Below are 15,355 nucleotides of genomic sequence, written 5' to 3' on the forward strand. Positions count from 1 at the left end.
ATGGCCATCCTTCATGTACCAGGGACAGTGATGACTACTTTTCATGTCTACCATGAAGCTCTCACAACCCATTTTACAGATTAGGGAACTAAGGCTCAGAGACAGGAATGACTTGCCCAAGGTTATTCTGAAAAAAAGTGGCAGAGCTGGGTGGGAGTTGAACGCAGGACACTGCCTCTGGGAACTTGTTGTTCTTATTTATTTATTTTTTATTATTTTGTTTTTGAGACGGAGTCTCATTCTGTCACCCAGGCTGGAGTGCAGTGGCGCAATCTCGGCTCACTGCAAACTCCGCCTCCTGGCTTCACGCGATTCTCCTGCCTCAGCCTGCCGAGTAGCTGAGACTACAGACATGTGTCACCACGCCCGGCTAATTTGTTTGTATTTTTAGTAGAGACGGGGTTTCACCATGTTGGCCAAGATGATCTCAATCTCCTGACCTTGTGCTCCACCCACCTTGGCCTCCCAAAGTGCTGGGATTACAGGCGTGAGCTACCGCGCCTGGCTGTTGTTATTTATTAGTCATAGGAGAGGCAGGCTCAGCTCTGAAGTCAGCCAGACCTGGTTCAAGTCCTAATTCTTTCAGCCTCTGACCGTATGACCTTAGGCAAGGACTGCTCTGTCTCAAACACTCCATTTGTAAAATGTGGATGCTAAAGGCACCTACTTCATGAGATGGTTCTGAGAAATCAGTGCTGGTTAAGCACTTAGTATAGCACCTAGCCTATAGGAAATACTCACTAAATGGTTGCCACTTTCTTCTTATTCTTTTTTTTTTTTTTTTTGAGACGGAGTCTCACTCTGTTGCCCAGGGTGGAGTGCAGTGGCGCAATCTTGGCTCACTGCAACCTCTGCCTCCCTGGTTCAAGCGATTCTCCTGCCTCAGCCTCCCGAGTAGCTGGGATTACAGGTGCGCACCACCACGCCCGGCTTTTTGTACTTTTTAGTAGAAACGGGGTTTCACCATATTGCCTAGGCTGGTCTTGAACCTCTGACCTCGTGATCCGCCCGCCTCAGCCTCCCAAAGTGCTGGGATTACAGGCATGAGCCACGGCACCCGGCCTATTCTTATTCTTTAAACTCATATAATGCTCCTCATTTGTTTTATTTTACAAGCGAGGAAACTGAGGCCCAGAGAAGGGGAAGAACTTGCTGTGGGTCGGCACTTGCAGAACTCAGTTCTCCCGGGTAGTCTCACCAATTCTGCCTAGAAATTCCAAAGCTCCTCCTGATTCCATATACAGCCATCCCAAAGGCACCCCAGGGCTCTTCCAGACAGTCTACCGGGTGCCAGCTCTGCGCGGCTCTCAGTACCTGGGCCATGTCCAGGGCACCCATGACCGCCGCGAAGCTGAACATGTTGCCCATAGTCCCCCGCAGCTCGGCCGCCAGCTGAATGGTCTTGTGCAGCAGCGCTGCCCGCTCCTCCGCAGAGCCGGTGCAGCCCAGGATGTCCACGGCCAGCATGATGGACATGGTGTGGAACCTGTCAGAGCGGCGGGGTCAGAGGCGGCGGGCTCGGGGACAGGGGTGAGGGGTGCGGGCCTGGGGCGCTGCCTGTGGTTGGGCCGGGAGAGGCGGAGGGCGGAGCCAACGTGAGAGGTTGTAAGGGTCAATGGGATAAGGGGGCGCGGCCAGAGCGTGGAAAGCAAGGCCTCGGGCTTCTGATTGGTCAGCATAAATCAGGGGCGGGGCCAGAGCTGTGGGTCAGCAGGGAAATGCATCACGCAGAGTAGTTTTTTGTTTTGTTTTTGTTTGTTTGTTTGTTTGTTTGTTTTTTGAGACGGAGTCTCGCTCTTGTCGCCCAGTCTGGAGTGCAATGGCGCGATCCCTGCTCACTGCAACCTCCGCCTCCTGGGTTTAAGCGATTCTTCTGCCTCAGCCTCCAGAGGAGCTGGGATTACAGACGCGCGCCACCACGCCCTGCTAATTTTTGTATTTTTAGTAAAGACGGGGTTTCGCCATGCTGGCCAGGCTGGTGTCGAACTCCTGACCTCAGGTGATTCGCCCGCCTCGGCCTCCCAAAATGCTGGGATTACAGGCTCGAGCCACCGCGCCCGGCCAGGCAGAGCAGTTTTAAGAACGAACAAGGAGGAGCCCCAGCTGATGGGCGAGGCCAGGCTGATGGTCAAGGGGATGACTGGTCAAGGGGATGCGAAAGGAAGGCGAATGCGGAGATACAGGATTCAGTCTTTGGGAAATCAGCCTGTTTAGAGCGGGTTATCAGGGCTTGCGATTGGTCAATGGGATGGGAGGCGTGGCCAGAGCCCCCTGGGAGCCGAGCTGAGGCTGTGATTGGCCAACCCGCCCCGTCCAGCGGGGAGTGCGGTAGCCGGGGGTTCCCCGCGAGTCCCCGGGTGCCGGCGCTGTCTCACCTTTCCAGCAGGTCTAGGCGTAGCTGCCGGCCATGGGGGAGGGTGAGCAGTTCCATGCCCCAGCGGACTCCCATTAGGGTCTGCATCTCCTTGGTAACGCCCAGTATCCTAGCAACCTGCAAAGACGCCCAGAGGGCTGATTAATATCCTGTCAGGGCTGGCCCCAGCCATCTGGGAGTCAGAGAGCTTTATCTAAGGGGGTAGGTAGCCTGGTTGGGAGGCGGGGTTTGAATTCCAGCTCCACCGCTAACCCTCTGATATGGAGCAAGTGACTCTGCCTTTCTCAGCGAGCCTCAGTTTCCCCATCTGTGAAGTAGGAATTAATAGGAAAATGTCCAGAGGTGCCTGGCAATTAAATATTCAGTTACGGTCGGCCGGGCGGGGTGGCTCACGCCTGTAATGCCAGCACTTTGGGAGGCCAAGGTGGGCGGATCGCCTGAGGTCAGGAGTTCGAGACCAGCCTGGCCAACATGGCGAAACCCCATCTCTACCAAAAATTCAAAAATCAGCCGGGTATAGTGGCGCGTGCCTGTAGTCCCAGCTACTCGGGAGGTTGGGGCAGGAGAATCGCTTGAACCCAGGAGGCAGAGGTTGCAGTGAGCCGATATCACGCCACTGCACTCCAGCCTCGGTGACAGAGTGAGACTCCATCTCAAAAAATAAAAATAAAATAAATAAATAAATATTCAGTTAAGGTTAAGAGCTGGATACTTGTTCATTGCAGAGGGAAACCCTGAAGCCCGGGCAGGGAATGGGCTTGCCCAAGGTCACACACTGGGCCTAGAACCTGGGTCCTCCCTGCCACCCTGGACTCTTCATGGAGTGACATCTTTGCCTTGTTTCTTTTCTTGCTTCCCGCGCTCTGAGACCAGTATAACCCAATAATCAGTTTCTCCCAAACTGTGAAAGGAGAAACTGAAGCACAGAGAGAACTGGGGTCTTTAGATGTTCAAAGATTTAACAAAGCTAAGGCCCAGGCATTGACAATTTATGGGCCGAGGAGGTAATGATTTCTGCTTATTTGTCCAGTGGCGGGGGGGCGGTGGGGGCAGAGAGTCAGGCCTTTTCTAGTCCCAGGACAAGCTGGCTAACCCTCAAGAGGCTCTATGGCACACTAGAGAAGTGTCCCCAACTGCCTCAGGGAGCCAGAGACCACTGGGTTTCAGGGCTGCCCAGTTTTAGTGCCAAACTGACATCTGGAGGAAGCAAGGATATCTTATGTGCTTTTTTTTTTTTTTTTTTTGAATAGTGTCGTTCTGTTGCCCAGGCTGGAGTGCAGTGGTGTGATCTCAGCTCACTGCAACCTCCGCCTCCAAGGTTCAAGTGATTCTCCTGCCTCAGCCTTCCAAGTAGCTGGGATTACAGGCGCCCACCACGACGCCTAGCTAATTTTTGTATTTTTAGTAGAGACGGGGTTTCGCCATGTTGCCCAGGCTGGTCTTGAACTCCTGACCTCAGGTGATCCGCCCGCCTCGGCCTCCCAAAGTGCTGGGATTCAGGTGTGAGCTACCACCCCCGGCCTTTTTAAAAGGAGAAACTGGAGGCCCAGTGAGGCTAAATGACCAGCCCAGAGTCACAGAGCAGGCAAAGGACAGCCATGGAGCTAGAATCCAGGCCCACCTGCTGTACTTGGGGAATCTGGGAGCCAGCTTCTCACTGCCCTGCCCCACAGAACAGAGATGCTCCCTCCACCCCAGTGCACAGCCAGCACCTACCAGGCAGTCCACCTTGGTGACATGCCGGGCCAGCGTCCGGGCATCCACTTCTGCCAGCAGCTCCTTGACCTTGCGCAGAAGGCCCACCTCCAGTGGCCGGTTATCCCTGGGGATCAGTAGTGACTGGAAGGTGGCCGGGTTGAAGGAAGAAGTGACTTCCACGATGGGGACTGTGAAGGTCTTGCCCCAGTCCCCTTCAGGGGCCCCATTTTCTGACAGTTCCTTTAGCCTCTCCCCATAGCTCCTGGCCTGCTGGCTGGAGGTCTCAGTCGCTGCCCACTCTCGGCTGCCACGCACGGGAGGCTGGAGCTGGCAGTAGTGGCCAGAGTCCGGGTCACTGTAGCTGCTGAGTGATGGTGACGGGGAGGCCTTGCCAAGGGTGTGGGAGGGGCTGGTGTGGGGGCCCTTGTCTGACTCCCCATGGGTCTTTGGGGCACTTCCGGGACACAGCTGGGGCTCACTGGAACGGCGGGCGACAGGGGAGGCAGGCAATGCTGTGGCAGAAGGGGCTGCAGGGGCGGCATGGACACGGGTTACTGCAGAAAGGTAGAGAGAGAGGCCCCGTTATAGCAGCTCCCCACCAAAGTGAGATTCCCGCACCCCTTCCCAAAGAACAGGCTCCCTCACTCCTTGTAGGGAGTACAGAGGTGATGTCCCCACCTCCCTGCATCACCAGAGACCAGGGCCGATTGACTCTGGCAAGCTGACCAGCCCAGGTGATGCTCTGAAATCACCAGGACCCAGGAGTTTGCATGGCCCCACCCTGAGGCTGCTGCAGCCTTGGGGACCCACTGCTTGGAGGAGCTTCAGTGATCCGGGGAAGCTGAGTACCTGCTGGAGTTTCTTGTGCCACATGTGATTGTTTCTCGACGAATTAGCAATAATGATTTCCTTTTTTTTTTTTTTTTTTTTTTTTTTGAGTCACTGTCTCGCTCTGTGGCCCAGGCTGGAGTGCAGTGGTGCCATCTAGGCTCACTGCAACCTCCACCTCCTGGGTTCAAGCAATTCTTCAATTCTTGAGCCTCAGCCTCCCGAGTAGCTGGGATTACAGTCATGTGCCACAACGCCTGGCTAACTTTTTTTTGAGTCAGAGTCTCGCTCTGTTGCCTAGGCTGGAGTGCAATGGCATGATCTCAGCTCACTGCAACCCCCGCCTCCCAGGTTCAAGCAATTCTTGTGCCTCAGCCTCCTGAGTAGCTGGGATTACAGATGTGCCCCACCATGCCCGGCCTGAATTAGCAATAATGATTTGTTGCTAAACCTTGTGTGCTAGGAGCTGGCAACATGCTGGAGACATAATGACAGTAAAACCATCATCAAACCTCAAAGGCGATATTTACTAAGCTCTTAGTGCCTGCAAGACCCTTCTTTGTACCTCAGTCTATTTAATCCTTTCAATGTCCTATGAAGTAAGTACTTTTATAATCCTCATTCTACAGATGAGAAAAGTGAAGCTCAGAGAGGTGCACTAACCTGCCCAAGGTCACCCAGCCAGCAAGTGGTACAGCTGAGATTTAAGTCTTGACATCTGGGCTGCTTTACTATACCAGATTGCTTAGAAACTGTCCAATAAGTCATTCTGGCAAGGAATTTTAGGTTTTATACTCAGGGTATTGCTTTGAAATCAAGTTTGTAGTTATGACAAAGTTGGTGGCTCTGTGTTTAGGGAAGGATTTGTGACAACCGATACAGACAGCAACACTTCAATGGAATGCCACCCTAGGCGAAAGTTCCTCCTGAGTCAGCCCCCTCTCGTGACACTTGGCCTGCCACGTGGACAATACGGCCTGTTGAAAACATTCTTTTTATTTTTTTTCCAGAAATGATCTATTGGAATGTTTCTAACAGAGAAACTTTCTTCGTATTTATAAGAAAGCACAGTGTTCCGTACTTTCCACTTAATTTTGCTGCAAACCTAAAACTGCTCTAAAAAATAAAGTCTATTAAGAAAAATAGAGGCCAGGTGCAGTGGCTCATGCCTGTAATCCCAGCACTTTGGGAGGCTGAGGCGGGTGGATCACCTGAGGTCAGGAGTTCGAGACCACCCTGGCCAACATGGTGAAACCCCATCTCTACTAAAAATACAAAAATTAGCTAGGCATGGTGGCACACGCCTGTAATCCCAGCACTGTGGGAGGCCAAGGCAGGTGGATCACCTGAGGTCAGGAGTTCGAGACCACTCTGGCCAACATGACGAAACACCGTCTCTACTAAAAATACAAAAATTAGCCAGGCGTGGTGGCAGGGGTCTGTAATCCCAGCTACTTGGGAGGCTGAAGCAAGAGAATCGCTTGAACCCAGGAGGCGGAGGTTGCAGTGAGCCAAGATCCCACCACTGCACTCCAGCCCACAAGAGCAAAACTGTCACAAAAACAAATAAATAGTTGCTAAATAAACAAACCATGGATACATCTTATATGTTGATATCAACAGTTCTGTTAGCAGGATTCCAGTGTCAGTTCTTTCTCTTGGTAAAGGTCGCGCCTCATAAAAGAGGCGGAAACACACATAACCACACATAGGTGACAGAAGTCTTCAACAACAGATTCCCTCCACCTGCTCCACCCCCTCTGCTGGCCATACCAGTGCTGTAGGCAGGGGAGCTAGGGCTCTCGGAGATGGGCGACATGGGTGAGTGCAGGTCTGGGATCTGGTCCATGCTGAGGGCACAGCTGCGGATGGAGTCCCGAGGGCGGGGCAGCGACGTACTGTGGAGCAGACACCATCATGGGCAGGGAGCCCGGAGGTCAGGGGCCTCAGCCTGCCTCTGGGACCCCCCACCTCTGCACCTTGAACTTCAGAGGCAGAGAAGGCTTGGAGATTATCAAATCCAACCTCCCGACTGACAGGTACCAAAAAAACTGAAGCCCAGATGAGGGAGGGGGCACAGCGAGTCAGGAGCAGAGCTAGGAACCCTGGTGGCTAGAACGCCTGGTTTCTTTTTTTCTTTTTTTGTCTTTTTTCTTTTCTTTTTTGTTTTTTTTTTCGGAGATGGAGTCTCACTCTGTCGCCCAGACTGCAGTGCAGTGGCGTGATTTCAGCTCACTGCAACTGCTGAACCTGCCTCCCGAGTTCAAGACATTCTCCTGCTTCAGCCTCCGAGTAGCTGGGATTACAGGTGCCCGTTACCAAGCGTGGCTAATTTTTTGTATTTTTAGTAGAGATGGGGTTTCACCATGTTGGCCAGGCTTGTCTCAAACTTCTGACCTCAGGTGATTCACCCACCTCATCCTCGCAAAGTGCTGGGATTACAGGCACGAGCCACCACGCTTGGCCATTAGCCCGGTTCCTAGTCGGTATCTTCCACATGACCCTGCTCTCCTCCTTTCCTATCCAGCTTCCCCTCCCACAAAGCTTAGAGCAGCCTGAGGATGAGGCTTGGGGGCACCCAGCTGAGCCAACACTTCTCAAGCTCCTCTGTCCCTCTCCTTTCCCAAGGAGGAGAGGATGGGAAAGGGGGTATAGGCCAGAATTCAACTACCCCATGAGGTGCCTTTGTGCAAATTAGTCAACTACAACCATTCTCTGGGCAGACACGGCCCCTCACTAGTGCCCTCAGCTTGATAAGCAGAATCTTTCCTCCAACCTGGAGAATGGTCTGGGGAGAGGGGCTAGCAGGAAGAGTAGTGAGCCTTAAGGAGTGGGCCCACCATCCCAACCTCTCCTCACTGCTCCCAACTATGCTCAGGATGCCTCAGGCACACATGGTCCGTGGATCCTGACACCATTATGTTTACTGGTTCCCAACCACAGGCCAAGTGGCTGCAGCCCACAGGGTATCCATTCATCAATTCCTTGACTGGGAGCACCCAACCCAGCCCCAGGGAGACAGAGCCTCAAGGGCCTATCCAAGTGCAGGTGGCACAGGACAGCAGATCTCTTTGCAAACAGCCAGGGAAACCACAGAAACTTGGGGCACAGACTTCAGAGTCTACGGACCTGGGTTTGAATCTTGATCCTACCACTCTCTAGCAAGCGGCTTCCCCCCTCTAAGCCTATGTCCTCATCTACAAATTGGGTGTATGGGCAGGACCCACCTCCCAGGAGGAAATGGGCGTTGATGAGATTGGGCACATACAGCACTTAACACTTAGTAGGATCTCAGGAACCGTCAGCTGCTGTGGCTTTTCCCAGCATCTGGGGCCTGATTTTAGCCCCGGAGACAACCAGGTGTGATTAAAATTTGCTGAGAACATCCCATTCCCTGTGCAGTGATTTGCATGCTGTAAAGCCCTCTGCTCAGATGCCCACCTTGGCCTAGCTGGGTAGGATGAGGAGGGGTGGCATCAGGTGGCGGGGACCAGGCCCCTCTCCGGTTCAGGACTCAGGGCTCCCCTGGGGTAGGGAGGGCTGCTTGAATGAAAGCCTTTATAGGTAGGAACATGGGGATAACAGAGGAGAGGTGACAGGGTCAAGGGCACATGGCCAGCGAGTGGCAGAGCTGGGACTGCAACCTGGGTCTGACTCCCTGCAAGCCCTGTGTTCTGTACATCCACAGAGTATGGCCCAACCTTCCTCCCATTCCTCCCTGCACACAGAGGCTCCAGGAGAGTAATTTCATCCCATTTCAGTGTACCTAGGCCTTCTCTTTCTCACTAGCCCTCTCATTACCCACAACCCCATTTGACAAATGGGGCCCTGGCTGACCTGGTGGGGCAGCCATCGCTGCGGGTGACCTTGTCAGCAGTGAGCCCATCGGTCATGGTGACGCTGCGCCGCTTCATGTGGCTGCCCTTGGGGCCTGAGGGGCTGACGGGGCTAGCAGGCTTGCTACTCCCCTGTCCCAGGCCATAGCTGGCCTCGAGGTAGCGCAGTGGGAAGGTGCGGTTCACCGGGCAGTAGATGATGGCACCACTCTGCTCTGACACAGCCTTGCGGCTGCCCACATGATAGCGCACGAGGGCGGGCACGTGGTCAAAGCTCTCCTGCTCAAACAGGTACTGGATGTGTGTGTAGCTCTCGCCTGCCTTCACCACCACCTTGTTGATCTTGAAGTGCAAGGCCTGGTTGCGCCAGCGGCACGTGAGCACATAGTCGCCCAGGCTGGTGAGTGAGTCCCGGATGAGGAAGTCGCCGTTGCGTTGTACCAAGGTCTCCGAGACCTGCAGAAGGCATGGTTAGGCTGGAGTAGGGTGGGGCCAGGAGAGGGTCAGACCCAGGATCTGGGGGACAGAGCAACCCAGGATTAGGGGGCACAGCAAGACCAGACCCAGGGCATAGAGGACCCAATGAACAGAGACATCTGACATCTGAGAGCGGGGATGCAATGACCCAGGTTCACAGGGGGCACCTCAGCCAGAGGCCCTGAGTCTGCAGCACAGAGGCTCAGGAATGGGAGGACCCAACACCTTGGAATGGGAGGCACAGAGGCCCAGGGTCTGGAGGAGTGAGAATGGCTGTGACCTGAGACCCAGGTCTCAGACCCATCCCTTCTCAGGGTTCCGGTTGGGCAGAGTGAATTCCTAATCCTCATTCTTCCAACCACCCAGTGCTCTGGCATGCCTCTGGCCCTTGCACCCTCAAGCTGCTTTTTTGTCCTGGAACACCCTTCCTGCCTTGTCCATCTGATGAACTTCTTTATTATTATTATTATTGTTATTATTATTATTATTATTATTAAGATGGAGTCTCACTGTCACCCAGGCTGGAGTGAGGTGGCACACTCACTGCAACCTCCGCCTCCTTGGTTCAAGTGATTCTCCTGCCTCAGCCTCCTGAGTAGCTGGCATTACAGGTGCATGCCACCATGCCTGGCTAATTTTCGTATTTTTAGTAGAGACGAGGTTTCACCATGTGGGCCAGGCTGGTCTGAAACTCCTGACCTCAGGTGATCTGCCCACCTCAGCCTCCCAAAGTGGTGAGATTACAGGCATGAGCCATCGCACCTGGCCCCACCTGGTGAACTCCTATCCACCTCACAAAGGCTTCCATCCTCAGTGTCCCCTCCTCGGGACTCGCCCATATTCTTACCAGGCACTCTATTCTTGTACTTCTTCCACTAGGCTCTGACTGTCATCCTGCCTGTCAGTCCCCCACCCTGGGCCATTAGCCATCAAGAGAAGCCACCACCTTTTCTACCTCTGCACCCTTGGTGCTTAGCACAGGTCCTGGCAGAGTTGGTGTTTGGCAAAGATCATAGCATAAATGAAAGAAGGAACAAGTGATCTATCAACTTAATTCTGTGGCTTATAAAGTCACCTCAGCCAAGAAACTCAACTTTGCCAAAACTAAGTAGCCCAAAGATTGGTACTCACTAAGCAAACATACAAAAGGCAGATATGTAGACCAGTAACAATAACAGCATAATAATAAGAACAAAGGCCAACATTCATGGTGTCAAGCATCATGTTAAACATTTTACCTGCATTATTTCGTTTAATTTTCACAACACCCCTTTGCAGTAGATACTGAGGCTCGGAGAGGTGAAGCAACTTGTTCAAGGTCACACAGTCAGTAAAGGGCAGAGCTAGACCTCATCCCAGTCCATTCTGATTGAATCCACCAAGCAACAGGTCAGAGCCTCCCAGGTGGCTGCAGCCAGGGCTGGGGCTGGCCAAGGCAGTGGGTGGGAGGGTCCCGGGTTGAAGTCCAGCTCGGGGCCTACTCACCTCTCGGGGGATGCGGCCATGGTACCAGGCATGGCTGCGGAGATCCGTGCTGCTGAGTTTGAGCTCCTCCTCCAATTCCTTGTGGAGTTTCTCTGGCGATGAGTCCAGGATGTACTTCTCCTTGGAGAACTGGGTAGAAAACAGCAAGAGTTGGCATCCAACTTAAAGTCTCCTTCTTCTTTCCCTCCCAACTTCATTCTACCATGGATGAACTCCTCCTATCCTGGGACTCTGGGAACACTAAGGCACAGGTGCCAGACCCTTTCCCATGGGTCCCAGAAAGAGTAAAGAAATCTCAATTCCTTCCACAAAACAATGCCAGCTGCATTCCAGGCCCTGTGCTATATGCCAGGGGTGGATGCAGTGATATATAAACCAAGCCCGGCCCTCAAGGCAGTGCCTAGTCTGAGGAGAGGCAAAAGCAACAGGAGCCTCTGAGTAGAGTGCGGTCAGCACCACAGCGCTGGACAGCGGCAAAGAGCCGGGTGGCTTTTACAAGCGGGATTAAGCCTGGGCACGACAGAGGGGTCTCGGAAGCCTTCCTGGAGGAGATGGCAGTAAGAAAACACTCATTATATACCAAGGGCACCAAACTGTTCTTGAAGTGTTGGAGGGGGATTTCTACAGGTGAATCTTGGAGGTAAGGCAGCAGGTAACTGCAGGAAAAGCTATGAACAAAACCACAGAACTGGTTGGACAAGGATACGTTCTGGGATGGTGCATTCTACAATGCAAGGGTGGGGAAGGGACTATAAACAGGGACACGGGGACCCCAAACAGACATCTGCATTGCCCCTTACAATTTCCAAGGCCATTTCTCCCTTGAAATCCTCAGCAATCCTCACCCAGATGGGGAGACCATGGCCCAGCAGGGAAGCCCAAGGCCACTGAGGGAGATAATGTCCAGTACTCCACCCTCCCACCTGGCCCAGAAACTCCTGGTTTCTTGATTACTGTGGCCTGAAGTTGGAGGCTGATGGATCCCAGGGGCCCTAAGGGAAGAGGAAAGGAAGCCCTTAATGCCAGGTGTACGCCCACCAGAGCCCAGCCCAATCCTGGCTGTGCCTTGTGAGCTCTCTGGGCCTCAATTTCTTCCTCATTAAAATGGGTACAGTGACAGAACCTGCCTCACCTCACTGCGAAGATGAAAAGAGACAGCACTCCAGAGTACTACTAGCACATGGACATCCTCATCACTGCGAGGACATGGGATGGTTCTTCCTCTCCTTCCCCCACCTCCAGGCCCCAAAGATGGCTACTCCAAGACAGACAGACCCCAGCGCTGGCCAGAAGGCAGGACAGATGAGGGAGGGCAGTAAAGGGCCTTCATCCCAGGTGAGTCTCTCCCTGGGGCCCCTCGCTCCTGAGAGTCCGAAGGTCCTCCAGTCCACTCCCTGCCTCCTCAGACTATCCACAGATCTCGCCTCCTAATTCTGTGGCTACATCCCTCACCCCTCTGCTCCCATACTGCCTGGGTTTAGCCTAGTCTGCATTGCTCCCAAGACACCATGATTCCCAGTGTCAGAGATATCTAGAATCTCTGATTCCATTCAACATTGACTAGGTCCCTATCCTGGTCCTGTGCCAGGGCTGAGGACCCAAGGTGGCCTCTGCCCTGGGGGAGGCCTTGCAGACACTGACAATCAATTCCAGGTTTCCTGAATGTCCCGAGATGCACAGAGATGGTGCACCACCAAACTAGTCAGGGGGCAGAGTCAGGAATCACTTCCCTGAAAAGGTGGTGTTTCTGCTGAGGTCTGAAGGACTGGGTGAGCCAAGCAAAAGCACCAGGGTGGAGAGGGCAGGTGGACAGGTGGACAGGGAAGAGCTTCTGGGGAGAGAGCGGCAAAGTCAGGGTCCTACGGGCAGAGCCAAGGGGAGGGAGGGGAGATGAATAAGAAGCTTCCAAGGGGCTGTGGGGGCAGGGGCAGGTGTGGCACGGCTGCCTCAGGGAGCTGGGGTTTATCTGGAGGCCACAGCAGAGCCATGGAGGGGTTTGGAAGTGTTGGGGCAGGTTTAGTCCACTTATGGAGAGCAGCCTAGGGTTTTCCAGGCAGTGGCAGGGCAGATAAGGCGTGGGCAGAAGGAGTGGGGGAAAGGGAGTTTAGATGGCCATTGATTCATGTGGGGGAGCAGGGCGGAGGGGTCAGAGAGGACTCCTGGCCGAGATCCTAGAAGGATGATTGGGACATGCTCTGAGTGGGCAAGGCTGGGGCAGGAGCAGCTTGGTGGTGGACCCATGAAAATTTGGACCTTGAGGAGCCTGCAGGGCTCTGGGGACAGATGGTGGGAGTGGGCGGTTTGCACAGGTGCTCAGGAGAAAGGCGGGGCCTGGGAGTGGGAATTCTGCACATCCTCCGGCCGTGGTAGAAACCGATGCCCCCGAAGGGCAGAGAGGCCCAGGGCTGGGCTAGGATCTGGGCCTTCTCAGACACCTACACTTCTCCAAGGGGTCCCCTACTTCTGGGGGTCCCTGGTCTCTCTCCCTCTCACTCTGCGGTGCTCACACCAGGCTAGTCCTCTTTCCTCATATCACACCAAACCCTGGAAAGGGGAGAGTGGGCGTCACAGGGAAAAAGGGAACCAAGACCTCAGCCTTCTGGCGTCCTCCTTGACAAAGGGCATGCGATTGAGACCTTCCCCCAGTTCCACAGCTGGAGCTAGAGGGACGTGGGCAAAGGAGGGAGGAGGCTGGATGTTGAAGAACCGCCCCAAGGCTGCCACTGTGTGACCTTGAGCCAGTCACTTCCCCTCTCTGGGCCTGGGCAGCCTCATCCGTTAAAGGGGCTGGGAGACTGGGCTCCCCTTTTCCAGCTTAATCACTGGTCACGGAGAGTTTGGGGGGACCAACTTGGTCCTCCCACACACCTGAGGGTGAGGAATCCTAGGGTCCCTGTGCCTTGATCTCACCTCGACCTGGGAGCCCCCAGTTCCCTAGAGTTGGGGGTGCTGGGGTGCGAATGCAGCATCCCTGCGCTCGGCGCCCTGCTATTGGCCAGAGATGATCTCACCGCCTCCCGGCCTGCGCGCGCCTGATTGGCCGGTGCGGGGATGCTGCGCTCCGCCGCCGGCGGGGCAGTCCTTCAGGCGGGCTCCGCGAGCGTGTGTGAGCCTGGGGGAGCGAAGAGCCGACGCGCCTGGCATCTCCCAGGGGGCTCAGGGGGCAGGAGCGCGGAGACCCCCGGACAGGGTCTTAACCCCTTCCCGCCAGCCCGAGCCCAGCATCCCCTCCAGCTCCCCTCGGCGTCCCAACCCCAAGCAAAGCCATCCCCAAAGGATGCTCCGCAGAGAGGCGGGGTCCGGGTCCTCCCCTCCACCCCCTTCCGTTTAACCCTCTCACCGCCGCGGCGCCGTCCTGCACTGCCCGGCCAGCTGGGCTGGGAGAGACCCGCGCCCCAGGCATGTCCAAGCCCACCTAGAGGGCGGGAGGGTGGCGGGCGCTCTGGCCCCAACCCTGGCATCCGAAGCATCCCCCGCGTTTCCTGCTCCTCACTCAGTCTTCAGATCCCAGTCCGGCGCCCCCGGTACAATGGGGAGCCAGGGTGCCCAGGTCAGCCGCAAGGGCCAGCGTACCAGGCGGAGGACCGGCAGGACGCCGGAGACCCCATCTCCCAGTCCCCCCTGCCCCAGCTCTCTCCCTCCTGCGGAGGAGGCAGAAACGGACCGGCATCTACCGCAGCCCAGAGTCCCAGGAGTGGCCGCCGAACCCTCACCCCGCGGAGCGCCTGGGCGCCCAGAGGTGAGGCTGGGGTGACCCCGCCCCCTCCCCGGGTCGGCCGGGCCCAGCCCAGCCCGACCCTGCCGGGCGCCGCTGAGCTGCAGCTCCCCGGCTGGCTCTAGGGCCCCGGGCGGAGCGGCCGGGGGTCCCAGCCCGGCGCGCGTGGCGGGGGCCGAGCCGCCCCCTCACCTGCACCTGCACGAAGGAGCCGCGGTAGAAGCAGCAGGCGGCGGCCGACAGGGCACTCCACAGGCTGCACCGCTCGGTCATGGTGGGGCCAGGCTGCCGGGGCCGGGACGGTGTGGGGGGGCGGTGGCCGGCGGGGCAGGGGCGCAGGGACCAACCGGCTAGGCACCGGCTGCGCGTGCCTCTCAGCGGCGCGATTACCTCATCGCCTTGTCGGGGGAGGAGCGGGGAGGCGGGGCGGGGAGACCCCACCCTCCAGCCGGCCAGGGGAGGGGAGGGGGCCATTGTTCCTCCCTCCGCCCGCCCCCCGCTCCCAGCCCCTCGCCCCCCGCCCTCCAGTTCCGCGCGCTCGGGCTGCCTGGAGCTGCGGGCGCGGAGCGGAGGACCTGCCAAGGAGGGTATTACCGGGGGCAGCGGGATCGGGTGGGGACCCATGGGCCAGCGAGGGGAGGTTCTGCCTCCCCCACTCGCCGCACCTCTAACAGACCGGGAGCGGGCAGAGACTTTGAATTAAATCATATCTAAAACTGGAAAAATCCGTATATGTGCTGGACCAAATTCTCTGTGGCCTCAGGAAATCTCCCAGAGCCCAGGATTTCTCATCCCTGGTTTGGAATCAGAGACTCTGCTGGGAATCGAGGATGTTCACTGACAAGACTCTGGGGGTGCAGAGAGCCAGTAAAGCCCAGTGGTTAGAGGGGCAGCCTGGATTCAACTGTCCCCTAACTACTGGTGCGCCCACTCCCACCAGCT

At 55.9% G+C, this 15,355-nt stretch overlaps 1 protein-coding gene across 7 annotated transcripts in view, besides 2 other annotated features; it reads right to left on the reverse strand.

Moving 5' to 3' along the window:
• Window positions 1-15,355, reverse strand: part of SH2D3C (SH2 domain containing 3C) — a 40,350-nt gene that overhangs the window by 2,157 nt on the left and 22,838 nt on the right. For 5 of the 7 annotated variants that reach the window (NM_170600.3, NM_005489.4, NM_001252334.2 and 2 more), the window contains 6 exons: window positions 10,699-10,827; window positions 8,738-9,192; window positions 6,674-6,798; window positions 4,091-4,626; window positions 2,376-2,491; window positions 1,315-1,486 (listed from right to left, as the gene is read on the reverse strand). In NM_170600.3, the coding sequence (NP_733745.1) occupies window positions 1,315-1,486; window positions 2,376-2,491; window positions 4,091-4,626; window positions 6,674-6,798; window positions 8,738-9,192; window positions 10,699-10,827 (1,533 nt within the window). Of the gene's footprint in view, window positions 1-1,314; window positions 1,487-2,375; window positions 2,492-4,090; window positions 4,627-6,673; window positions 6,799-8,737; window positions 9,193-10,698; window positions 10,828-14,605; window positions 14,832-15,355 lie in introns of those variants that run through there. The other 2 variants (NM_001142533.1, NM_001142534.1) reach the window with 2 other exon arrangements.
• Window positions 1,473-2,100: an enhancer, noted in NCBI's record as "H3K4me1 hESC enhancer chr9:130504225-130504852 (GRCh37/hg19 assembly coordinates)". NCBI's record gives its function as "activates a minimal SCP1, AML or CMV promoter by ChIP-STARR-seq in primed H9 embryonic stem cells {active_cell/tissue: H9 hESC(primed)}" and the evidence as "EXISTENCE:reporter gene assay evidence [ECO:0000049][PMID:30033119]".
• Window positions 1,477-1,771: an enhancer, noted in NCBI's record as "tiled region #4083; HepG2 Activating DNase unmatched - State 4:PromP, and K562 Activating DNase matched - State 4:PromP". NCBI's record gives its function as "activates a minimal TATA promoter and a strong SV40 promoter by Sharpr-MPRA in HepG2 and K562 cells {active_cell/tissue: HepG2 | K562}" and the evidence as "EXISTENCE:reporter gene assay evidence [ECO:0000049][PMID:27701403]".

Source organism: Homo sapiens, chromosome 9, assembly GCF_000001405.40.
Source record: "Homo sapiens chromosome 9, GRCh38.p14 Primary Assembly".
Lineage (NCBI taxonomy): Eukaryota > Metazoa > Chordata > Mammalia > Primates > Hominidae > Homo > Homo sapiens.